This window comes from Homo sapiens, chromosome 13 (genome assembly GCF_000001405.40).
Source record: "Homo sapiens chromosome 13, GRCh38.p14 Primary Assembly".
Taxonomy (NCBI): Eukaryota; Metazoa; Chordata; class Mammalia; order Primates; family Hominidae; genus Homo; species Homo sapiens.
The window spans coordinates 100,917,986-100,945,946 of record NC_000013.11 but is presented as its reverse complement, the minus strand read 5'-3'; the positions used below and the strand labels follow the sequence as shown (position 1 = coordinate 100,945,946).

The 27,961-nt window shown below is 40.0% G+C and overlaps 2 long non-coding RNA genes across 2 annotated transcripts in view; one reads left to right on the top strand and one right to left on the bottom strand.

Moving 5' to 3' along the window:
- Positions 1-27,961, bottom strand: part of NALCN-AS1 (NALCN antisense RNA 1) — a 350,962-nt gene that overhangs the window by 113,340 nt on the left and 209,661 nt on the right. The gene's annotated exons all lie outside the window — the stretch shown is intronic.
- LINC00411 (long intergenic non-protein coding RNA 411) lies at positions 1,583-6,427 on the top strand. The gene is made up of 3 exons (NR_047015.1): positions 1,583-1,772; positions 4,815-4,945; positions 6,338-6,427. It is a non-coding gene; the product is annotated as a long intergenic non-protein coding RNA 411 (long non-coding RNA).

The following is a 27,961-nucleotide window of genomic DNA, read 5'->3' as shown; positions in this document are numbered from 1 at the left end:
GTTCATGCCATTCTCCTGCCTCAGTCTCCCAAGTAGCTGGGACTACAGGTGCCTGCCACCACGCCCGGCTAATTTTTTGTATTTTTAGTAGAGATGGGGTTTTACTGTGTTAGTTAGGATCGTCTCGATCTCCTGGCTTCGTGATCCGCCCACCTCGGCCTCCCAAAGTGCTGGGATTACAGGCGTGAGCCACCGTGCCTGGCCAATGTGACACATTTTTAAGACATTCTTCTGGGTGTCATGGAAGATGGAAGATGCCATATAGGGCAAAAGCAGAAACAGGAGGCTGATTCCCAAGGCTGCAGCAGCCCAGGTTGAGGACTGTCGGGCCTGGAAGCAGGAAGGCAGAAGAAACGGTCAGATGGGGGATAGATTGGGATGGTGGGTCCTGCCATGTCCTGGTCTGTTGAGGTAGAAAAGAAGGTAAGATCCCAGGGTGGAGGGTGAGTCACACCCGCTTGAGACAAAGAGAATGGCAGCAGGTCCAGGGGCTCCCTGAAAGAAGGGAAGTGACCAGGAGACATGGTGAATGAGCGAAGATCTGCAAGGGACTCTGAGAGCAAGGAGGACCCCAATCCAAATGAGAGCATACACTTGAGAGCAAAGGTTTCAGTGAGAGCAAAGAAATGGTGAAACTTTCTGTAACTAGGTGAAGAGCATGCATGAAATTGTTTGCAACTAATAGAGGTTCCACAGAGCACAGCGGAAAAGTTTAGAAGAAGAGCAATTACATCAGGTCCAGGGAGAAGGAAGCACATGGCCACGTGAAGAGGACAGTGACCAGAGGACCTTGTTCAGTTTGTGTGAAAGACATGGATGAGTCATGGGGGAAAGAAACGACCTAGAAATGTCCACAGACCTGGACTCTGAAGTCTCTGATGGATTGGAGGACTCAGGCCTCTCTGGAAGAAGCCGGCTGCTCTTGGAAATCCTACACCAGGTGGGCTGGCAACAGGATTAGTTGGTTCTCAGGAGCTACCCTGAGTGCTGGAAATAATATTAGCTCCAGATGGATGGGAGGCCTTTCTGGATGGAAACCTTCACAGCTTGTCTTAACTGTGACTCTAGGGGAATACATGGAAAAATGGCATCATGGATTCTAAAATAACTGCAAGTGAGATCGTTGTATGTACTTTCTGTTTACTTTACACAACCCTCACTCACTTCTCAACCCACAGAGATATGATTTCTGCTCACTCCATTTCACTAAAACAGCCCTTGCCAAGTTCTCTAGTGGTCTCCATATTACTTGAGCCAACTGACCTTTTTCAGCCCTCATCTTCCCCGACAACTCAGCCCTGTTGGCCACGCCCTTCTTTGTGAAACACTTTCTTCCTTGGATTTCTATAGTGATGTCACCCTCTCCTAATTGTCTTCCTGTCCCCAGCTACTCATTGGCTCTACCTCTCAAATCCTCACTTACACAGCCTATAAGTGTTGGGGTGCCTTAATGCTTGATGTTAGACCATCTACTCTTCTCACTTAATAACCTTTCTCTGAGGCATCTCAATCAGAGCTGTGGCCTCAACTGCTTAACAGAGGCATGTGAAAAGTGCTGCAGGAGTGTTCAGCCGAGTGCGTGACTATGTCATGTGAAAAGTAGCTTGATTTGGGGTCACTGCTATTCAGTGGAAAATTTAACCTTGGGATGGATAATGCAGCCCAAATTTGAACTCTGAAAGACTATTCACTGGATTGGAAGACCAATAGATACCAATAAATTAAAAGTAATTGCTGTTTATCCTTCATCAAAATTACCATTATTCTACAAGGTAAGTGCTTGTCTATACATTACAAGCCCTGTGTCTATTGCCTATGCATTAACTATGTATTAGCATTTCCTACATTCTGTACATTCCCTTTATCCAAAATATTCACATCTACCTCTTACTCAGCAGTCCACCAGGCTTTCCCATCCTTAGTAGCGTTTATTGATTGCCTTCAGGATCTATAGTGATGTTTAAAGCACTATAATCCATCTCTATCCTCAAAGATCTTGATGGAGTATTACAATAACCCTATCACTTATTGTTGTCAGCTTTTCCATCAGCATCAATTAGAAAAGGCATGAAGGGACCATAGGTTGATCAATTACTTTATCAAGGGAACAAGTATGGAAGCATCACTTGCAAATGATCAACAATCATTATTGCATGCAACTAAAAGGAGTATGTTTTATTTATTTATTTTTTTGAGGCAGAGTCTCACTCTGTTGTCCAGGATGGAGTATAGTGGCGTGATCTCGGCTCACTTCAACCTTCACCTCCTGGGTTCACGAGATTCTCCTGCCTCAGCCTCCCAAGTAGCTGGGATTACAGGTGTACACCACAACATCCGGCTAATTTTTTTATTGTAGAGACAGGGTTTCGCCATGTTGGCCAGGCTGGTCTCAAACTCCTGACTTCAAGTGATCCACCTGCCCTGGCCTCCCAAGTTGCTGGGATTATAGGTGCGAGGCACTGCACTCAGCCTGTTTTACTTTTTTTTAAATCCACAATATAGCCAAATCTCTTGTATACACAAAATAGTGATCTGCGGTCCATCTCATGGCAACCATGCTGTTCAGCCTATTGATCTTCTTTAATGAATTACCTGCTTTGTTGACATCTGCACTCTGCAATTCCAGAATTGATCACACATTTCCCTCATAGCCCATCTCCTCATTTCCATTAATTTTACATACTGTCTGCAGAGATAATCCGCTGTAAAGGAGGTAACACTCACCTTGGAATCAGAAGTCCTGGGTCCAAGGTCTGACTTGTAATTCATTGGGTCATGCACAATCTAATTTTCTTCATCTATATATCTGCCTGAATAACCCTACACTCTCTCCACACCTCTCAAAATAGGCAGGTGGTAAGAGTTATTACTTATTAGAAGAAGCTTTAGAAATCCAAATATTTCACCATCGTCCTTGATCAATGGAAAGTTTAAGAGAGACAGAATCATCTATTCTCAGTAGCATGGACTGCAGGGAACTGCCTCACTGAAGCCCCTGTTGATTTATTACATTAATTCATTACAGTTTGTGTGCAGAATATTAGACATGCCTAGCTTCAGGTCTCAACCTGAAGACATGTGTCATCCAACTAGATCTTCAGAATTACTCTGTGAGATAGGCAGGGCAGGTGCTATTGTTTTGATTTTGCAAATGAGGAGAGTCTCAAAGTTTAGCAAACTGAACAAGATCACACAGCTAGAAAATGGACAAACCAGGGCTCCGTTTTTCAAGCTTTCTAATCCCTAGTTCTTCACCTTCCAACACCTCTAACCGGAAGGGAGAAAGCAGTGCTTAAGTCCCTTTTCAGTGCAAAGAATGACAATAACCTGAGAGAGTTAATGCACCTTCCAAAAGATTCATTTCTCCCCTATTCACAAAGAGTCAGGCAGAAATTGATTTAGAACAATCAGGAGAAGACTCAGTAAGCTTCATCTACACAATAAAAATAATACACTTAGCATTCTCATGTGACTTCACATTTTGTAGTTATTGACAATAAACAATTAAAAATTTATCTCATAGATAACCAGATGGCTAGTATAATTATTTTACAACACAAAACACCTAGACAGGCTTCCTTTTTATTAGGTAGAGATAATTTAAAAATCAATTTAACAAAACCACTTTAAATGTACAGAGTTCCAAGCCTCATTGTGGTGGAATAAATCCTGGAAATCTGGGGCATTTAATTTACAATAAGCCTCAATAAACTGCCCTCATGAGATGGCTCTCATGACTAGAGGTCATTCATACAGGCTGAAGCTTAGTTGTAAACAGACTACACAGTGCGTTCTAGCCATTTCCAGCTTGAGACACAGGAAACTCCTCTTATCGTAATCAAATGCTGACAAGTCCCTTTGACTTAGAAAGTGACATACGGTGAAATGGACCCCAGTTTAAATTCTTCTCAAGTTTTCAGGGTGAGAAAGCAATTCCAAAGCAGCCCATTAGAGGTATTTGTCTGCATGCATAAGACATTAGGCAGCCTGACATGACCTGATGTTTGCAAAGGGAAGGATGGGTTTGAGGCAAAAGGATTTTGTACGTGCAAAGTGGTACAGGCCAAAAGAGCCACACATGTAACTTCTTTACATATAGCTTGCCAGATCTTTGCTTGCCTGCAACTAGCTGATTTTTCTATGAATGTTAAGTTCATGAGCAAATGAATAGAGGATCCAAACCTACCTTTTTAATTACAAAATGCTTTTTCCTCCCCTACAATCAGACTTCTACTCATTTCAGCACTGAAAAAAAAAATGTAATCATCATAATTCCTAGTAGCTTGCTTCTGTTTCCGCTTCAATAGATACCCTGTAGATGGGAAGTCACATAACAGCTCCACGTCCTATCAAGTTGCTTCCACCCGAAAACAGCTGCAATGCTTATCTAATTAAACCCCAGCCCCAAACTGTGAGCTTCCGCATCAATCATTAATATTGTATTATGGATCATTTTAAATTCTGACTGGGGTAGGTGGCTCCCCGCACACTGGTCTCTGAAGGAGATTTTTCAAATAATCTTTAAGCTGCATTGAAAAAATAAAACAAGCTGCCTGCTGTTCGAGGAAAGCTCTACTATCCTGCTGCACCCTGATTAGCTGTTAACACTAATTGAGAGATGAATATTGCTTATTCCAAAAATGCTAAAGATGGGTTTTTTTACATTATGAAAAGGAAAACGCAGTTCTCCTCACCTCAAAAATGTGTCTGTGGCTCTTTGTCCAAATTCTAAACAGCACCAAAAGAATGGTGGTTTCTGGGTCTCTTGTCTACAGTTTGCAGAGTGATTATCCTGAAACACTTCTTTTCTCTAGGTGGCCCTCCAGAGTTAGTGAACTGTGACCTCCACATGGGATTTGGACATGCGTGCCCTACATCTGGAATGCAGAAACACTCTTCACAGAACTCTGATAGCCCAGGAATATTTATGTAAATCTCTGTCCTGGTAAGGCACATGTTGATGTACTTGGGCTTAAGCTCATAAACCAAGAGGAACAGTTTCCTACATCCCCCTTCTAATGACTAAAGCCAACGGGCTGAGCCAAATGGGACAATTTAGACAAAGAGAGACTGGCGAAAAGCAAATGAATGTCTGCTTCCTTCTAGCATTCTAGGAAAAATACCAAGCGGCTGTGCCAATGTGCACTGCTTGCCTTTGTTAGGAGAATACACTCAAAATCAGGGGAATCAGTCAGTACCAGGTTCAGGAAAGATGTATGCAAGAGAGACTCCCTGATGAGGAAAAATCGACTACAGAAACACAGCATGCACCCAGCTCAGCACAAACACAGCTTAAAAATCCAAGGAATTAGGATGAAGTGTAGAATCCCGAGGTTCTCATTCTTGTTCCCATAAGCCAGGATTGGCTGAGCCTTAGCCAGGATACCACCTGGCATTCAGCCACATCGGCTAAAGAGATGAGGAACCTGAGAGGAAACAAATGTGAGGAAGAGGATGATTCAAGAGGACCAGAAATACAAGGAAAGGACAGAGGCCCTCGGATGGTTCACTGCAGAGAAGACAGGCTGAAAGATTTAGGAACCGGCTGAAAGCCAACATGCCAGAGCCTCCCAAAGGGTGGAATCAGAGATCTCTCCTGCTATTATTGTATCAGCAGCCTCACGTCTACCCTCGGGCCTGAATTTTGTTATAGATTTATACACATTTGATATAGAGTCCTTCCCATGCTACTTTCCTACTATCTCTGTGTTTCCTAGAACCAAGGTACACCCCTCCCCATGGCCTCTCCCACTGCCATCACATTCTAAGCATATGTCCAGCCCTAGGGAGCTATAAGACCTTGAGTGTATTGGTGAAACTCTCCAAGTCTCATTTTCCTCATCTGTAATATGAAAATAGTGGAATATATTTAGGTACAATTGACGTTTTTTAGTACTTCCTACATATCAAGTTAAATGTGGGTTTTTTGTTTGGTTTTCGGGTTTGTGTGTGTGTGTGTGTGTGTGTGTGTGTGTGTGTGTTTTGAGACAGATCTCACTCTGTCACCTAGGCTGGAGTGCAGTGGTGCGATCTCAGCTCACTTCAACCTCCACCTCCTGGGTTTAAGCAATTCTCCTGCCTTAGTCTCCCAAATAGCTGAGATTACAGTCACGCACCACCACACCCAGCTAATTTTTGTATTTTAGTAGAGACGAGGTTTCACCATGTTGGCCAGCCCGGTCTTGACCTCCTGACCTCAAGTGACCCACCCGCCTCGGCCCCCCAAATTGCTGGGATTACAGGCATGAGCCACCGCGCCCGGCCAAATGTGTTTTGATATATTATTATTATCCTTCTCCTAAAGCACAATGTGGAAAATGTTATTTCCATTACACAGATGAGAAAATGTAGGCCACAAAACTTTCCTGACGCTCCCAAAGTCATCCAGCAAGAAGTACCAGAATCAAAATCTTCTTATCCTTGCAAAAAAAAAGAAAGAAAACATAAATAAAAGTGGAACAGTAAGAATCACAAAAAAGAGTGAGGGAGACAGAGAGAATCGGGAGGTACTACAAGAGGAAGAAACCTAAATCTAATTTATCTCACTTGGAATTAAGGACAATTTGTAAAATTTAGCAGTAAAGACTGTAATATGTTTGAAATTTGATAGACTTGGGAGATGTAATAAGAACAGTCTTTTTTTGCAAGTGTTTATTTTCTAATAAACAGGAATCAGGAAATTTGCCTCTGGGCAGTTTTTCCCCACAACTAATAATTGAAAATGTGAAGTTAGCAAACAATTCCTTTACAGCAAACATTGCTCTTTTATTCAATTGTTCATGAAAGAGAAACATCTATTGATTCCCATCTAGGTGCCAGGCATTGTGCACTCCATATGCCAGGCATGCAGTTTAGAGCCAGACAGTCTGGTATCTGAGCTTTAAAGGCCAAGAATCAAGTGTTTATGTCTGGCATGTTGTAATTAATTAAACCATTTTTATGCAATAATTGCAGGGTGTCAGAATACAATGCATTTGGTGACAAGCTGACTGGACTCAAAGAGAAGTTGCTGTGGGATTTCTGCAAGACCAGAGTCTTAGAGGAGACGGTGCCCAAGTCTAACTTGTTCACTCTTGGAATGCCAGGCACCAAACATGGTGCCTGGTCCATTGCTGGCAGTGGGTTCTTCCTATGTGCCATGCATTTGACTCTCCTAGGGAACTCCTTTAAAATAGAGATATCAAGCACCCCCTCCTTCCCAGAAGATGCTCATCCTGTTGGTGGAGACAGGACCATGATGAGATTTGTTTGTATTTCTCCGTGGGTGATTTGGGTGATTCTCTTCTTTTTTTTTTTTTTTTTTTTTTTTTTTTGAGATAGAGTCTTACTCTGTCGCCAGGCTGGAATGCAGTGGCATGATCTTGCCTCACTGAAACCTCTGCCTCCCAGGTTCAAGTGATTCTCCTCCCTCAGCCTCCTGAGTAGCTGGGACTACAGGCGCACGCCACCATGCCCAGCTAATTTTTGTATTTTTAGGAGTGATGGGGTTTCACCATGTTGGCCAGGATGGTCTCGATCTCTTGACCTCATGATCCGCCCACCTCAGCCTCCCAAAGTGCTGGGATTACAGGTGTGAGCCACCACCCCTGGCCAGGTGATTCTTATACATACCCAGTGACAAGAACCACTCAGTGTGAGCTTTATGCATATTTTTCAATGTATGGTGGTTCACACCTGTAATCTGAGAACTTTGGAGGGCCAAGGCAAGAAGCTTGCTTGAGCCCAGGAGTTCTAGGCTGCAGTGAGCTATGATCTTGCCACTGCACTCCAGCTTGGGTGATGGAGTGAGATCCTAGCTCTAAAAACAAACAAAAAAGAGTGAACTAGTATTATTAAAGTAAGTGCACACTATACTTTTTAAAACCATGTGGCACCCTTATGGGTATAAATTCTAAAGCAAGAAAGGGATAGGAGGAAGCGTTGGATTAACATTATGGGTAGGGGCAATACATACTATAATAGGATAAAAATCTTACTAGAAGATGGAAGGAACGTGGAATCCCTTAGGGTGAACATGAGGACCTTTTTTAACACCTAAAATAAAAGTTTAAAATAACATTTTTTGGCTATTATTAAACAGTCAAAAAAAAAACACAGATGCTAGCAAGGTCTTGGAGAAAAAGTAATGCTTATATGCTGTTGGAGGCAGGGGTGTAAATTAGTTCAACCACTGTGGAAGACAGTGTGGTGATTCCTCAAAGACCTAAAGACAGAAATATCATTCGACCCAGAAATCCCATTACCAGCTATATACCGAAAGGAATATAAATGATTCTGTTATAAAGACACATGCCTGTGTATGTTCATTGCAGCACCATTCACAATAGCAAAGACATGGAATCAACCTAAATGCCCATCAATGGTAGACTGGATAAAGAAAACATGGTACATACACATCATGGAATACTATGCAGCCACAAAAAAGAATGAGGTCATGTCATTTGCAGGGACATGGACAGAGCTAGAGGCAACTATTCTTAAAAAACTAATGCAGTAACAGAAAACCAAACACTGCATGTTCTCACTTTTAAGTGGGAATTAAATGATGAGAACACATGGACACATAGAGGGGAACAACACACACTGGGGCCTATTAGAGGGTGGAGGGTGGGAAGAGGGAGAGGATCAGGAAAAATAATCAATGGGTACTAGCCTTAATACCTGGTCGATGAAATACTCTGTACAACAAACCCCCATCACACAAGTTGACCTGTGTAACAAACCTGCACATGCACCTCTGAACTTAAAGTTAAACAAAACATTTCTTAGACCCCTATAATATAGGTAGCATTTATATTTATTTTCTTTGTATTAATAAAAACATACCTCTATGAATTCGATGATGCCTTTAATTAATTTGAATTATTTTAATCTTAAGTGTCTACTTACATTTTTAAAATACTAACCCATACATGTGCAAGAGATTATTTAGTCAACCTACAGATACTGCTTACTGGGCACATGGACTCAAGAAGAAACTCATGACGCACATGGTCTGCATGTCAGGAACCACAGACGTAGACCATCTAACTAGTAGTAAGACTAGAATGAAATTTTTCAACATGAGGGAAGAGGCAAAATTAGACTCTTTAGTGGTAAAGGGCATTTTAAATTTCTTTGTAGTGGCAAAATAAGTCACCAGGACCAAATGCAAAAATGTGTGGTGTTTTCTTATAAGTTACCATTTTATAGAATAAGTAATTTTAGCATGCCTAAGGAAAAGAAATAAATTAGACAAGATTTGGAGCAATACAAACAGGATGCAGAGAATAGCTGAGGTAGAACAACTCTGCAATATTTGTAAGATTTTCTCTGAATAGGATTCAACTTAACATGATAATATCTGAAGAGACAAGACCAGGTAAAGAAAATTCATTTGATTATTCCATTTGGGGAAATGGTTAGGGAAGTACGATCAAATGCATAGCTGAAAAAAGTAAAAAACACAAATCCCATAAGTCAAAAGACCTTTCTTTTAAACTTATTGATAAATGTACACCCAAAATCAAGATCAAAAAGAGGTTCTTAATTAGAAATCATTTGTTATTAACAGGCAAAGTAAAAGAGGCTGTTATCGAAAAAAAAAAAAAAGCATCTTTTATCACTGGATGGATAAGCTGCTGAAACCTGAAGGTCACATAAGACCAAAATGTAAAAACAGCAACAAATGTTGCTGGACTTCCTTCTTCTCCAGGTTTTGCAACTTAGCCCTGAGTTGCTCTCAGGAAATTACATTTCTCTAAAATAAACATAGTGATAAGATTAGGATTCAACAACACCCGAGGCTCTCATATTACCACTAAACCTTTCTTCTATGCACACCTCAAAATATTATTTGCCATTTAAAATGGATTATCTCTTTTAAGGGGGCATATTTAACATTCTGCAATATCTGCCTGTTTATATGGACTCCAAATCACCAAAAATCCCAAGCAATCAGAATCATCCTCATTTGCTATTCAGCAACATTTCCCCAAGTCTTTTTCTCTGAATATTGGTGAAGATGTTCCTCAAAAAAGAGGGGAGGAGGGACTATGACTGGATAATTCGTATCTTGAAGATTCTCAGAAATCTTACATTGAAAACATCTGTTTAGCCTTGTTCATCCCATTATTTCTCACATTTATTTGACTTCAGAGCCCCTTTATCATGTAACATTGGTTAAAATTCCACAGAAATAGCCTTCCAGGCACACAGTTTGGACAGTCTAACTCTTTATGACCCTGAGACACTCCGAAATTGACTGCTCTGGTCCACCAATAGATGTTGAGCTTCAACATCGCCCAGGAACTGGTCTAGCTGCCGGGGATACTGTGGTGGACAAGATGAGCACAGTCCCAGGTCCCTGTGGAGTGTATTTTCTAGCATATGACGGAGTAAATGCACCTGTTGGCTTCAGGGGAGTCTGAGAATAGTGACTGGAATGGGAGCAGGATGTGCCTTTAGACAGGATGGGTACGGAAAGCTTCTTCCCAAGGTGATGTTTGAGACCAGATCCTGATTCTGTTCACTCTCGTTTTAATACTTAACAGACTTTTCCAATTGTTTGAAAATCATTGATTGAAAAGTAGTAATGCAAGATTTGTGTTTTAGTAATGTTCTGTTAATAAGAAAGCCAATTAAACAATGCTCATTCCCCATCCATCCCATTTAAATAGGCATGCATTGCATGTGCGTTAAAAACGTTTGTCTACTGGGATCTTACACTCAGTTCTCAGAGCAAGTGCACAGGGAACATCTCCGAGTCACAGCACTAAGTGGTAAAACAGTGTTTCTGACACAGCCCAGAAGTCCCTCCACACCGAAGGCACTGAAACGATTCCCCCTTTTTACTCTTCTCTAAACAGGATACACACATGTAATTGGGCACCAGGAAATTCCTGTATAGCACATTGGCAATGAATAGTTGTCTTAGTGGCTTATAATTAAGGAGAGTGATAATGTTGGGAATTTAACTTTGGTGGTACTTAACTCTGAAATACTTTTCACTAGCTCAATCCCTGTTGATTGCTTATTAAAATGACTCCTGAAACTCCCAGGAAAACAACATGGAAGGCTGAGTAAATGCTTTTGTATTGTGAAGATACTCTTTAATGAAATACTTCTTTCCCACAGCAACAGACCTACTCTACAATCCAGGAAAATGGTTTTAATAAATGCTTCTGATAATAATCTTTATAATGATCATTGTGTTATTGGTTATGGTGATGAATAATAAAACCTCCTTCAAAAAGGCTCTAAAAGATAAGGTACTAATTCAAAAGAAGGTGGTGGTGGTTGTTTTTAATTCCAACATGCTTCTGAGAGATCCACTTAAACATTTGCAATAACAGTGGAAAATCTTTAAGCAGACCAATGAAAATTTTCTTCTTATTGTGTTTTGAGTAGTCAAATTGCACCCAGTATTGTAAAATCAAAGTGCTTTGTTGCTAGGCAATTCCATGAATCATCCCAAATCAGGTTTTAACCAGATTGATAAAAGTGTTACCCCCCCCCTTGTTTTTTTTTACTAGAACACAGTTTTTGGTTGAGCAACAAAATATGTGAACTGATCACATGGGAATAGAATTTTTATAGCAATAAATAAATCTTGCCCCAATGATAATATTTAATGATATGCATAATTATTGTTATAACACACGGGAATCAGATATAAGTGATATAAAGCCCAAGTGATGATTGCATTTAGCATTATGTTGACATTGCAGATAAAAGCAGCTTTGAGATCAGCATGGAGGAAGAAGGAATAGGAAGAAGCTGCTCTGAACTCCCTCCAGAAACACCTACATTTACATCCAAGGCACCAGCTGTTGAGTTTCCCTGACTTGAGAAATGGCATCGCTCTTGGCCAACATCTCCCAAGGAGACTAAATAGAATATTAATGTATTAGTAGAATATTAATATTAATATATTAGTAGAATATTACTAACAGATTAGAATATTAATATTAATATATTAGTAGAATATTACTAAGTAATAGATTAGTAGAATATTAATATATATTAGTAGAAATAATATATTAGTAGCATATTCATATATTAGTAGAATTAAGCAAATTGACTGGTTTTAAATTCTAATATATTTGTTAAAGTTTAATCATTTAATTGATAGTTATATCTGATAATAAGAAACTCATCTCTTCATTTTATTTAATAACAGAATAAACAGATCATTAAGCATATGAATTTAGAATAGAGGTGAATCTAACTGAAATATTATTGGCATATGAGTATTTATGGAGTCTTCATGTTCTTCACTACCTACCTGCAAAGTTAAAGTGTTTATTTGAGGATGTAGACATGGAGATCCACACAAATACGTGAAGAGCTATATATTGAAGACAACAGCCTTCAATCTTTAAACCAAGTACAAAGCTCTTATATATTTATAGTATAATATAGCTCCTACTATTTCAATGTTTATGTCGTATCTCTTCCGTAAGCGATTGGTGGGTCTGAAATCCACTTTCACTGAGATACTTGGTTGACGTCAATACAAATGAGAACAGTGCGGACCGTTCTGCCCTTCCCCTGAAAACACAAAGTGGAGCTTTAAAACAGGCTCTCACACTGGATTTTAGGTGGATTTGGATTTTAACTCCAGTTGTCTATGAGCAATTAAAAAAAAACCCACAGCAGGACGATTTCCAAGGATATTAGAGGATTTAATGAACAAGGATCGCATTTAAGGGAAGAGGGGTAACGAGGAGTAAAACGAAATTTTCCTGCTTTTTCCTGTGAGAAGTATCATTGTAATTACCCATGTATCTAAATTAAAATTGCATATTCATGTTTTGCATTTTCAATTGGCCTTGTATAATTAAAACTGCATCACATTTGATGAATTTATAATTATGGCTAAATGTTTATGTTAACGTTCACCTCTTCCATGCTGAAAAACAACAAAAAACGAGAACATTTCTTTAACTTGTTTCTGACCAGAAATTCAATCTCCAGATACAAAATTCAATGACCATGTGTCCTGAAAATAAAATATCTTTGAGATCAATAGGCACAGCTTCAAGTGTGAGATCCAAAAATCCTGATGCTTGCAAAGCACAAACCCAAACTGCTTTAAAGAATAATCTATAGAGGAAAGAAATAGAATGAATGGTAGAAGATCTGATTAAGGTCTTATAGAAGATACCTTACTAACTTCAATGAATTAGCAGGAGACAATCATATCTCCTCAGGCTATAATCATTGTACTTTAAATCCCCAACTATTTCCATTAAAAAAAAAAGAAGGAAAAAAAAACTGTGTGCTGCAAGATCAGAGCTTTCACTTCTGAATGTAAAAATGGTGACTAAATCAAACACCCATTATTCATTCTTTACTGAGAAACTCTTTCCTAACTTTTCCCAATGAGGGAATCATAAAAACAAAAGCACAGTAGATTATAAAAGTTTATGTTGGAAATAGAAACACATGACTCTGGGTCTCTGTCTTGGCTGTTGGGAACGTTTCAGGTTCAAGACCTCCTGGACAAACATTTAGTGCTTAGATATTGCTATGAGTTGAATTGTGTTCCCCCACAGTGTTGAGCCCTAGCCCATGGGAATCTCAGAATGTGACCTTATTTGGAAATAGGGTCATTGTAAGCCGATAGGAAACACCAAACTGTTTGTACTATTCTCACACTCCACACAACACAGAACCTGCTGTGACCAAAATGTATGGGGGATTTTCTCTGCACTCCAAGCAATTCTCCAAGCAGATACCAACTGGGTGTCCTACAATTCAATTCAATTCTGATGCTATCTACCTAGAGATGATATCAGGACCTAAGGTGAAGGGCTCAGTCTCGCGTGGCTGCCCCCGACTTCAGATACCAGTCACAAGCCCCAGTTGTGATCTGTGCTTCTGACCAACTGGCTATAAACTAGAGTTCCCAAGACCCGCTCTTTGGGTTTGATTTATTTGCTAGGACACTCAGGGAAATGCTTTACTTACACTTACTCATTTATTATTAAGAATATCACCGGCGATACAAATGAACAGCCAGATGGAAGAGACGCATAGGCAAGGAATGAGGGAAGGGTGTGGAGCTTCCGGCACCTACTGGCACCTCCTCAAATTCAACAACCTGAAAGCACTCCGAATGCTGTCTTTGTAGGTTGTTACACAGGCGTGATTGATTAAGTATTGGCCATTGCTGATCAACTCAAACTTCAAGCCCTCACCACTCCCCAGAGATCAGGTGGGACTGAGAGTTCCAACCCTCTAATCACATAGTTGTTTCCTCTGGCAACCAGCGCCCCCAACCCTGGAGGCTATCCAGGAGCCCCCAGCCATCAGTCATATGCCTAGCATACACAGACACATATCATCACACTTTGGAGATCCCAAAGATTTTAGGTGCTGTGTTTCAGGAAATGGGAACAAGACCAAATATGTACACAGTCCCTCACGATGGGTTGACTTACAATTTTTTGACATTTTGACAGTGTGAAATGACATGATGCAGTGGAAACTGCACTCTGAGTACCCATGCAATCATTCTGTTTTTCACTTTCAGTACAATAGTCAATAAATTACATGAGATATGAGAAAGAAAAGACACACTATAGCGGAAGAATGCAAGCCCCCCTTAAATGATCAGGCCCAGAGAAGCACTGGAATGGAACAGCAGTCACGTCCCACTCCATTCTGACTTGATCTCTTCAAGGTGCTTGCCACGTTGACTCTAGACTGACTGATGCCAAGTAACTACAAATTACCCTGACAATGCCGCACACTGGACACCACAGCTCATAACCTACAGTTCAACCACGTATAGCCAATCACTAATCAATGTTATTTCTGTAAATCAATATGAATTGTATCAGCCCACTCCTTGTCCACCTTTGCCCTTAAAAACCTCCTTGTAGCAAAGGCCGAAAGGTGCACTTCTCAAGGCAACTTAGAAGTATTTCCCGGGCAGTTGTACTCACCTTGGCTCAAGTAAACACTTTAAAATTATATTTTGTGTCTCAATTTCTTCCTTCAGGTCAACATAAATTCAATACCTTATTTTAAAATGGGCTTTGTGTTAGATGTTTCTGCCCAATCACAGGCTAATGTAAGCGTTCTGAGCACGTTAAGGTAGGCTTGGCTAAGCTGTCGTGTTCAATAGATGCAGTGTATTGAATGCATTTTTAATTTATAATATTTTCAACTTACAATGGGTTTGTCAATTGATGTAACCCCATAGTAAGTCAGGGAGCTTCTGTGTATTTCTTGTTATAAATCACAGTATCACAGTCATTAAAAATGTAATTAGTTAGATTAAATGGAAGCCATACTGCAGTACGTGGATACTGAATCCAATGTAACCAGTCTCCTGATAAGAAGAGGGAAATTTGGACACAGAGACAAAGAGGGAGAATACCACGTGAGGATGGATGCGGAGACTGGAATGACGAGCCTACAGGACAAGGAGCGCTAAGGATCACTGGTGTGAAATAAGAATGAAGTCCTATGCCTGGGCAACATAGCAAGACTACATCTCTACAAAAAAAATAAAAATAAAAATAAAAAATAAAAAAGTTGTAAGTAGCCAGGTGTGGTGGTGCATGCCTGTAGTTCCAGCTACTGAGGAGGGTGAGGTGGGAGGATCACTTGAGCCTAGGAGTTCAAGGCTGCAGTGAGCCATGATCAGCCACTGCACTCCAGCCTCTGTGACAGAGAGAAATCCTGTCTCAAAAGAAAAAAGAATGTTCTAACCCCCTACAAGCAACTTAAAAGACCTCTCTTGGCCAAGGGGACCCCAGAGAAACCTTGAAAACTGAGTTCCTGGCCACAATGAGATGGGAGGTCAGATGCGCCTCTTTATACCCTCTCCCCCCAAATTGCCTTTCTCTCCCTTTCAAAAGACTTGCTCCACCACTGATTTTAACCAATCACTAGACGCCATACCCAGACTCTCTGCTTTCCTGTGGTCTCAACACAGCAGGTGACAAGGACCACATCACATTCCTCCACAGACCATGGACCGGTTCTAGCCAGTCTACAGAAGCTGCACATGGATGCCCTGTGTCCTCCATTTCATCTTCTGACATATAAAGCCTGCTTTTAATGCATTTAAATGTTGTCTCCACCCCTAAGTGAACATGGGATGTATGCAACATACATTTTTGCTTATTAAGCATGCATGCCCCCTCTTTGTGAATATTCATAGTTCCTCCTATAACCTGTTGAATACGTCTACTTAGCTAAACCATTCAGCATCAGTTCCTGTCTCATCCTTCCTCCTTCAAAGTGCCTGCTTTCAGTCTCTGCCAGGGGCTATGCCTCTCAGCCTGCAGCATGGCCAGCCTGCAGGTTGCAACCTTTATTAAAAAACAAAGCTCTCTTCTCCAAATTTATGGATCTCATGATTTTAAGTCAACATCAGTAAAATCAGAAGCTAGAATAAGAGGCAAGGGGCCGGGCACAGTGTCTCATGCCTGTAATCCCGGTACTTTGGGAGGCCGAGGTGGGCGGATCATAGGTGAAGAGATTGAGACCATCCTGGCCAACATGGTGAAACCCCATCTCTACTAAAAATACAAAAAAATAACTAAGTGTGGTGGCACACGCCTGTAGTCCCATCTACTCAGGAGGCTGAGGCAGGAGAAACACTTGAACCCGGGAGGCGGAGTCCGCAGTGAGCCAAGATTACAGCACTGCACTCCAGCCTGGTGACAGATCGAGACTCCATCTCAAAAAAAAAAAAAAAAAAAAAAAGAAATAAGGAAGGACCCCTTCCTAGAGCTTTTAGAGGGAGTGTGGCAGCCCCGCCAGTACCTTAATTTCACATGCCTAGCCTTCAAAACTGTAAGAGAACAAATTTCTGTTGTTTTGATGTACCCAATTTGCTGTACTCTGTTATGACAGCTCTCAGAAAATAATACAGATGTCTGCGGAACTTGGAAGATTATCTTCCCAGAATTTCAACTTGTATCCACATACTACAAGCTGTGTGAACCAATGTCTTGATGTTTTATGAAACTGAAGCTTCTTGCTTAGAATTCAAGCTTAGAAGTCTTTTCTTTCCTTTGTTCTCAAAGAAACAGGTGAGAGAAAAATGTTCTTCTTGCAGAATTTATTCTCCAGTGCTAAGATCACTAACAGTACCTGCCTGCAAGGTCTCTAGGTCTGAGCCACGGGAGCCAGGATGTGGTATTGGAGGCAGCAGTGAAACCTGTGTTCACTGCCCCGTCTCCCTTACAACAAGGTCCAGAAGGTGCAGCCCCTCAACAGCAACGTAAGTACGTGACGCTGTACAGACATACATACCTAGGTGTCTGGCTACCTTTTCAGGCTCCCACATCAAGTCTGAGGGAAATTGTCTTGTGAGTTGGCAAAGAGAACAAAGAAAATAAAATCTTTAACATGAGTATCCATTCACAGACATTAATGCAGACTAGACTGTGATCTGGAACACGAATCCAAAAGAACCACACAAGTTGTTTTTGATTACTATGTGCAGATCGATCAACATGCTGATTACTCGACCGGTCATCAGCACCTCTTACCTTCCAATATTTTGTTAATAAATGTTGTACAGCAGGTACAAAGAGAGGCTGAATGCACAGGTCTATATTCTAACACAACCAGGATGCAGATCAACAGAGGCTTTGGGCAGAACATGGTATGAATCACAGTTTAGGTTCTCTAGCACTTTTCATTCTACAGTGCACTTTAACAAACATTTCTACATCTAGTTCTCATGTGGTCCTGTTAATTTTAGAGAGGTAAATAGTCAGAAAAGTTAAGTGACTTCCCCTGGTCACAAAGAAAGTACAACTCAAGCCATTTCTTCTGACTTCATATCTCCTGTTACAAATTCCCTGGAGAGAAATTCTCATTGGCTCAGTGGATCAAGTGTCCACCCCTGGTCCATTGCCTGGAGCATGGTCTAGCCTGGAGCATACTCACTGCCAGCTCACTTGCTGCTATGAACTGGAGATCTGTCCCCCCAAAATTTATATGTTGAAACATAATCCCCAATGCAATCATATTAGGAGGTGGGGCTTTTAGGTGATTACACCATGAGGACAGAGACCTCATAAGCGATATCAGTGTCCTTATAAAAGTGGCCTGAGAGAGCTTGTTTGCCCCTTCTACCATGTGAGGAACCAGGAAGAAGGTGCCATCTAGGAAGCAGACAGCCCTCACCAGGCACTGAATCAGCACGTGCCTTAATCTTGGACTTCCCAGCCTTCAGATCGGTGAGCAATAAATTTCTATTGTTTATAAATTACCCAGTCTCAGGTATTTTGTTATAGATGCACAAACAGACTGAGATACCTGTCCTCCTCGGAATTGTTACCTAGCACTGTTACTGCAACACCACTTCTGGTAACATCCTTTGCGGGAAATTTTTTTCAACATCAAGATCATCAACAAACAGTATTTTTTCCTGCCCCAATGACTACATTTTCTACTGAACTGTTTTCGTCTCAAAGTAATGTTCTAGGCACCACCGTTGTCTTCGTTTGTTCAGCTGCCTTAATAAAAGGCCACAGACTGGGTGGCTCATGAACAACAGAATTTATTTCTCACAGCCCTGGAGGCCGAGAAGTCCAAGATGAAGGCACCAGCAGATTCCCTGTCTGGGGAAGGCCCTCTTCCTTGTTTATACTCAGCTGTCTTCTCCCCAGATCTTCACATGGCAAAAGGGATGAGGGATTTCTCTGTGGTCTTTTTTATAAGGGCACTAATCCTATTCATAAGGAATCCACTCACATAACGTAATCACCTCCCAAAAGCCCCACCTCCTAATACCATCACTTTGAAGGTTAGGATTTTGACATATAAATTTTGGGTGCACATAAACATTCAGTCCATTGCAACTGTATTTCTCAGGGTTCTCCAGAGAAACAGAACCAATAACCAATAGAATGGAGACATATATGGGGGACCAGCACAAATATGAAGCATATATATACATACACATACACACACCCACATATGGAGGGAGAGAGAGAAATTATTATAAAATATTGGCTCATGCAATTATGAAGGCTGAAACGTTCCACGATTTGCCATATACGAGCTAGAGAGCCAGGAAAGCTGGTGGTATAGTTTGAAGTCCTGAGAGCCAGACAGCTGATGGTGTAGATTCTAGCCCGAGTCAGACAGCCTGAAAACCAGGAACACCAGCGCCAGAAGATTGATGTTCCAGCTCAAGCAGTCAGGCCAAGAATGACTTCAACATTCCTCACCTTTTTGTTCTATTTCAGGCCCTCAACAGGAAGGGTGATACCCACCCATATTCCATGACCCTGTCAAATTGACACATAAAATTAACCATCACAGTCACTCTCACAGAACTGTTTCTAGAAGAGGGAAATTGGAGTTCTAGCAGCCTCCAGCCCTACAGTAATGTTAGATGTCACAAAACGGCACCAGAAAAAACACAAAGGTCCACATGCTTATATTTGACCATCCTATAAAACCATCCTAAAACCACGACCATCCTATAAACCAAAAGCCTTCAAACTTCATTGCTCACATACCTCTTTAATTATTTTGAAAAATTATGTACCCCTGTGAACACTTTTAAATTGACATCTAAACATTTGCTTTATAAGCTTAAATAGTTGTAAAGAATGTGATATTTAGCATATTGTAAATGCTGAAATTTAAAAATGAAAGTTACAACATCCTTCTAAATATATGCAATGGAATCTAAATTTCATAATGGTTTGAAAGCCATCTGTTGGAAAACAGTTGCCTTTTCTGTTGCTTCTGCCTCTGATGATGACAGTATCCTGCAGAAGCCAGAGTCCTTCATCCCTGAGGTGAACACACACATCTGGCCCTGGAGTCAAAGAAGCTAAAAGAGGATCTAGAGGGAGATGGGATACAATACCTACAGGCCCAGTTACTACCTCACATCAACAAGGTGAATCAGTAGATGAGGAACAGTGAGGGTCATCTACAAATGGCTGCAACTTCCCTTCAGCCCTGCACATCTTCCACATCAACCAGAAATACACAGTAAAGGGAATTCTGGAACAGTTTAGCCTAGGCAAACAGACACAAAGCCATGGCACCATGGACCTTGCCAGGCATGGGGGACATCAGCCCAAACATGAAGCTCATGCTGTCTTCTGTAACCTGAGTAATGAAGTCTTATGTCTCTGATCCAGGAGTCACACGTCTTCTACCAGCATCCATGAACCTGTTACAGGCTAACCTAGTAGGTTGCAATGAGGGTAAAATCTCAGCCTCTTCACAGTTTTTAGTAATACTATTATCAGTTTAACAGTACATGAACTAGCTCTTTCTTGACCTTAGAAATGTTTACATTTCCTTTCCTGTCTTTTATTTGTATTTTCATTACTCTTCATTCCGACTTGTAGCTTAATATATTTTAATGCTTGGAAGTCTTCTACTGATCCCACTACCACAGTTTATTCAATAAAAGCCTGTTTACAGCAATCAAACTTTTTTATGTTTTATTTTCTATGATCATGTTTCAAGCATTAAAACTTCTTTCCATATTGTGTAATCATTAAAATTATTAGTAAAAAAAAGATCAAAAATGTAAATATATTAAAAATGTGAATAAATATTAAAAGAAATTTAATTATTGGAAATTAGTTATCTCTTAAAGCAAAACTGCTAAAAAGCAAATCCATTCAGAAGCTAGCATATATATTTTATGTTAACAAGAAGTTGAAAATATTAAACATTTTATAACATGAAGTAAGATTAATTATACTTAAATACTATATACATATAATGTGACAAAATAATTTTTAACTACCTAACTGGATAACATATCCTAAATCTGAAAAAAAAATCACATAAAGATTTAGCCAAGGGTTTTATATAATGTATCCTAAAATTTTTTGTAGTTTTAGATGCCTTCCAGTGACATTTAAAAGATTCTGCAATACTAACCTACTGTTAGCTTCTTCAACAAGCAGTCTCTGCTTTCCAGCTAATAAAGCAGACTAAAAATGAGTCCTAAGAATAGCTGAAAAGAATTGCTTATGGTTAAATAAATGAAAAAGGTCATTTTTAGCACTCAATATTTCTTAAAGTGCACTTTGCTTTGCTCTCACAGAATTTTACATTTTTTGGCAAAAGGAGGGGGATGGAAGAGATAAAGCCATTATTAAAAATGTCTTAACTCCCACTATTCCTATATCTGAACCAGATCATCTAACCCAGAGCTGGAACAGCAATTTTCACCCTTAATTGCATAGTGATTAAGACAGAGAAATACAGGGAATCTCTATGTGTTCAATGTGTCTCTACTAACGTTTAAAGGAGGCTGAAGAGATTTTCAGACTTCTAATCTGTGGATAAGATTTGAGATGGGTTAGAGGTCACCTTTTTGTTTACCAGTTGGAAGAAGAACTATTGTGAATTCAGGCAAGCGCTCCAGGAATGAGCTTTAGGAAAGAGGACCTATAGAATTTAGGGACCTAGACACTGATTTCTTTAAAACTCTCCATGTTCTTATACCCCCTACGAAGCATATTCCAGTGGAGACCATTGCCATAAGCCACCTTGAGCTTCCCCCAAGGTGAATGAAGCTCCTTCTCATTTTCATATGGCCTCCATCCTCTTGGGGTGCAGTTTCAACTGTTTCCCAGAGCTACGTATATGTTATAAATGCAAAGAAGAGCCTAGAAGGATGCATGCCAAAGAAAGATCACTGTGGTAGAAAGTAGAATTGGGAGGAGGGGATTCATATTATTGTTTTTGCCACAAAAGTAAATTTATGCATTGTTTGATTTAAAATAAATAAATAGCACAACAGGGTGACTGTAGTCAATAATATAATAATTGTACCTTTTGAAGTAACTAAAAGATTACAATTGAACTGTTTGTAACACAAAGGATAAATCTTTGAGGGGATGGAGATATATATATATATAAAATATATATAATAATTATTCTGTTAATTATATATGTAAAATATACGTATTATTTATGTAAAATAGATGTAAAATTTACATATACGTAAAATAAAGTGAATAAATAATTTTAAAGGAAACATAAAGCAAGAAATTTACAATTGGAAAAAATGTTGGGAATGAGGAATTGGGGTAGGGTCAAATGTGGTGTATAAGGAAATAAGACAATGGCCAGGCACAGTGGCTCACGCCTGCAATCGCAGCACCTTGGGAGGCCAAGGTGGGCGGATCACTTGAGGCCAGGAGTTTGAGACCAGCCTGGCCAACATGGGGAAGCCCTGTCTCTACTAAAAGTACAAAAATTAGCTGGGCGTGGTGGCACCTGTAACCTCAGCTACTCCAGAGGGTGAGGCATGAGAATCACTTAAACTCGGAGGCGTAGGTTGCAGTGAGCCAAGATCGCGCCACTGCACTCCAGCCTGCGTGACGGAGTGAGACTCCATCTGAAAAAAGAAAAGAAAAGAAAAGAAAAAAACAAGAAAAGGAAAGAAAAGAACAATGAAATCATACAGGGGATTTGCAGAGCTCCAGAGTTTAGACTAAACAAGCCACACACCAGAGAATGACCTCCTCAGAGTATTTTTCAACATTTTTCTCAAAATTCTATTTATTATGTACAGTTTCTAATCTCATCATAGTTAAAAATTGAGTGCTTGCATTTTAAGTGCAGCATCTGGGTATGATTTTACGGTAACCCTAACCCTAGGTCCCCCACAAAAAATAAAAAGCCAATATAACCAGGATGACTTAAACAATCAGAAATGGTAGCTATTGAGCAGATTGAGGCAAAGACAGCAGCCCTGCTGATATTTGCATCCTATCCATGCCATAATGAAGAAGAGATACAAATTCTGTTTTCACAAAAGCCTTTGGTTTGGTCTTTATTTAAAATATTGATACTTTGGGAGGCCAAGGCAGGAGGGTTGCTTGAGTCCAGGAGTTTGAGACCAGTCTGGGCAACATAGTGAAACTAGGTCTCTACAAAAAAAAAAAAAAAAAAAAAAAATTCTAAAAAACATTAGCCAGGCATGGTGTCACATGTAGTTTCAACTACTAAGAAGCTGAGGCAGGACGATTGGAGGATTGTGGGAGCCCAGGAGCCTGCTTTATACAAACAATTCAGAAGGGTCATGCACCTTCAAATCACCAGCATGAATGCCAGATGTATAGTATGATGTTAAATTTTTTGATTTTGAAAACCATTTATCATTTGTGATTTCGTTGTTACGTCATTCATTTGTATAAAGCTGCAGTGAGATATGATTACACAACTGCACTCCAGCTTGGGCAACAGAGAGAGCTGGTCTTTGAAAAAAAAAAAACTGTGGAAAGCCAAGTGTGCAATGGTGTTTTCAGTGATATTTGTTAATGTTGATGAATGTCAGTTTACAAAGATTGAGACTCTGAAACACTAGATGAAGTTGAAACTCTGAGCCCTCTAGCACAGCGTCAGAAAGAACTTCATTAAAGGACACCCCCCGAACAAAAGAAATGTCCAGCCCAGAACGCCCCCTTCTTTCGTGAGAACTATCTGCAACACAAGAGGTGAGGGGCAGAAGTATCGGTCCTGCTTTGAAGATACTCAGGGGAGTTGCGAAGAAAATGCAAAGGAGACCGTAACTCTGCACACTGTGATGCCAGTTGCATCACGTCAGCTGCAGAGGACAATAAATTGGGTGCTTTGAATGACGTAACAACTAAATCACAAGTGATAAATGGTTTTTAACAATCAAAAAAATTTAACATCATATTATACATCTGGCATTCATGCTAGTGATTTGAAGGTGCATGACCCTTCTGAATTGTTTGTATAAAGTAGCAACTACAAAACAGAATGCAGTGTAAGACATGCAATGATTGGAGGGATAAGTGTTCCTGTATCTCCTGGACCACAAAATTGTCTCAAAACCATTTGTTCCCAAAAACCTTATCTTATTGCATGATAAGGGAAGTGGAAGAAATAACAATATTTTGAGAGGCTGGGAGTGATGTGGATTTGTGCTATATCTTCAAGTTTAGGAGTGAAACCAAGAAAAAAAAAATGCCCTAATTTTTTCTTCCCTGCCCACATTCTCTCAACCCCTACTGCCCTCAGATTCTGTGCTTGATCATCCCACTCTTATAACCCCTGGATTTTGCACCAACTTGGGGCCCTGGATGCAGTGATTTCCGTCAGAGATGACCAAAGGAGTGCTCATTCATTCATTCAGTATGTAGGGAACGCCTTTTAAACGCTGTCGTTGGTCAGCTCTCCTAGAAGCAAAGTCTCAGAAGAGGACTCACTGGAGTGATTTATCGGGTGACAGGTCACAGGAGGAGCAGGAGAATTGTGGGATAGGACTGAAAAATAAAGAAAGCAAGGATGCAGCCATCTGAAGCTGGTAAACAGTGGCTCTTGTCTGGCCAAGGGTAACTGTGAGCTGTGGACACCAAGGCTCCCAGAAGCTGGGGCAGGTGAACTGGCTCAGTGACTGGATCTGGGTGGGGCCCTGACAGCCCCCACTGCACACCCATGACCTGGGCTCAGATGCACTCAAACAAATGATGGATACATGCAAATAAATAATCCCCCTTAGATTTTTTTGGAAAACAATGTTCTTTCTGCCCTGCTCTTCAAGAGCAGGGAGCATATCTTTTATTTTATTCAATAAACATCTGTCCGCCCACTGTTAGCCGGGGACTCTACTCAGAGCTAGGAAAGGATCATAAGAGAAAGCAGCTATAAAAAGGAATGACTCGTAGAAGGGAGAATGCCTGCTGAGAAGGGTAGAGAGAAGGGGAAAATCAGGAGAGAGTTTTAAAGGATATAGTTACAGCTGTATAGGGAGAATAAGTTCTAGTGTTCTATAGCACGGATGTAGGATGACTGTAGTTAAAATAATATGTTAATTATAGTTCCAAATAGCTAGAAGGGGGACATTGAATGTTTCCAACACAAAGAAATGATAAATGTATTAGATAATGGGTAGCTAATAACCTTGATCTAATTATTACACATTATATGTATCATAACATCACTATGTACCCATAAATATGTACAATTATTATATGTTGGTTTAATTTTTTTAAGGAATAGAGACAGCATTGCTATCCCAAGCAATCTTTACCATCCCCCACCCAGTACCTGGCATAGTGTTCCGTGCCTAACTAACATGTGTGAACTAACCTTGTTCACTTGCTTACTGATTTTTTTTTATCCATTTGTACCATGGTAAACACATTGTGATGAAACATACATCACATAAAAATTTATTATTTTAACCATTTTAGGGGACAGTTCTTGCTTATTCCTTCTAAAAGCAGTGTTCTATCAACGGTTGGACATGTAACGTAGTAAGGGAGTCAGATGACCCTACCTTTGGCCTTTACAGGGAGAAAAAAAATCCCTTAAGCTCTGAGTTCTTACTACAAAACAAGTTGTCTGCAATGCTACTAGCTATGATATTTAGCACAACCATATCAGGCATTCAGCATTTCCATGTTCATAGGGGGAAAAAATTAAATTGCCCCTCCCTGGGCTAAACAACCTTGGCACTGCATTTTGATCCTTAAATGTATGCACATGCTATCATCAACAACAGACAGGGGTTCTGTTTGCTGAAAGAATATAAATAATTAAAATCCTGCAGGGAGCAGATTTTTATTTACAGGGCTCCATTGTCATTCTTGTACCTGGTGGTGGTATGGTCAAATTACACGAGTTTATTAAAAAACAAAAATTGATGGTTCCGGCTCCGTTCCTCTACCCCATGGAATGAGATCAAATAGAGGCTGCACAGAAGCAAACACTGTCAGTATTTAAAGAGCTATCGTTGGAATGGGGAGGGGCGCTAACTAACATTCGGGGGAATGAGCTCTCAGATGCGTGGGCTCCCTATCGCGCCCAGGGCTTCCTGGACATCACCACATCTTGGAGTTCAGATGTTCATGCTATGAAACGTTTCCAAGCCCGCCCTTCGCCCTTGTTGGATGTTCTGTTTCATCATTCCCTTTTTATTTATGATTCCCCACATTTCTTAAGATAAAAGCTTACACTGCAGAAATAGTCTAAAGCATACACCCTACATACAAACTGATCTCCAGATTTCCAGTGAAATTGCTGCCTTTGTATACTTATGGACTGACGTGATAACTGAAAATAACTTCCATTAGCACTATAAAAACTCCAGCTGATACCAAATGAATTTCATTTGATACCAGCAGAGAAAAATATTGGCTACTGAGATATTCTTTGTTCATGGTTATTTACGGTTAGCTAGAATCCATGTACAATTCAGCCAGCCAGAAGGCCCCAGATGATTCCCTTCCCTGGAGGACCTTGTGTGGAAGGTCTTCCATGAAAACTGGCTCACCTTCATTTGGCAAAATACGAGGACCGCTCTTCTCACACCTGGTCCACCATAATACAAGGAAATGTCTGGTGATTAAATTTCTTGGGGTAAGAAAGATGTCAACAGATGTTTGAGAGATGTGCAGTACCTCCCTCTCCACCTCCAACCCATCACCAGGCGATCCTGTAAATGTTGGAAATGGTCGACTAAATTATCAGGAAATTTCCCCAAACCATGGTCCTGGTGATTTCTTTAATGTAAATATTTCAAAGGTGCATGTACCACCGCTAAGAATTATGTATCGATATTTTGTTATGTTTCCTTCAGATCTTTGACTTTTTAAGAAATATCACACGCAGTTGAGGCTTCCCACTTGGCTCTTTCCCTCTCCGGTAAAACCACTGTCTTGCAACTGTGTACACCCTGGCCATTCATGAGTTATACTTTCAATACATATGCATGTATCATAAACAATCTTAGTTATCTTAAAATATATATACCTTTCTACAAATTTCTTTCTCCACTCCACGTTATGGATTTTTAATGTTTTTATTGTAAATATACATAAGATGCCTATTTTAACTATTTTTATGCATCCAATTTAGTAACATCAAGTATATCCACAATGTTCTGTAGCCATCACATCCATTTCTAGAACTTTTTCATCATTCTAAATAGAAACTCTGCACCCATCAAACAATACTCCCCTATTTCTTCCCTCTCCATAGCCCCTGGCAATCGCCATTCCACTTTCTGTCTCTATGAATTTGACTATTCTAGGTACCTCACATAAATGTAATAATCACACAATTTCTGTCCTTCTGTCTCTGGCTTATTTCATTTAGCATATCAACATTGTTTTTAACATCAGCCCAGGTTGGTACATACTGATATAGGTCATTCATCTTAAATATTGTATAACATTCAGGAGATTCCAGATAATAATTTATCCTTAACTCTGTTGGTGGACATCTAAGTTCCAATTTTTTGCTATAACAAAATCCATCTTGCAGCGAGCATCAGAGGCACTCAGCTGAAGTAGAAATGCTGGGTGTGTACCTCCTCTGCTTTACCAGGAAGCTGCCCAATTGCTCTCTTAAGTCACGATAGTAATCAACATTCCTGTCAGCAGCAGAAGTGAGTTCCTGCTTCCCCATGTCCTTATTTGTACTGACAAATTTTCCTTTTTAATGTTTGATAATTTGATGGGTGTGAAATGGTATCTCAATGTTTTCTTACTTGACATTTTTTCAATGAGCAGAGTGAGGCTGAGCATATTTTCATGCTCATTAACCATTAAAGTTTCTGTTCATGTGAAATGCTTGCTCATAAATTTTACTCTCTTTTATATAATTTTTTGCTTTTTTATTGATTTCCAAAGGGGAGAGATACATAGATACATACATGCGTAGATACCTAGATATGCTGCATAATAATCATTTGACCAGCATAGTTCATTAATTTCTGACTTTATCCTTATTGTATTTTCCCTTCTGCTTGGGTTTACTCTGTTTGGTTTTAGTTTGATTTTTTGTCCATTTTCTTGATTTGGATACTTATTTGTTTATTTTATTTTTTGTTTTGTTTTCTAACTCATGCATGTAAGGCTACACATTTCTCTCTAAATAAATGGTTCATCTCATCTCACAAGCATTAACATGTAATACTTGAATTTAATTTAAAAAATTGTACAATGTCTGTTCTACAAACATACAGCCTTTGTTAGTT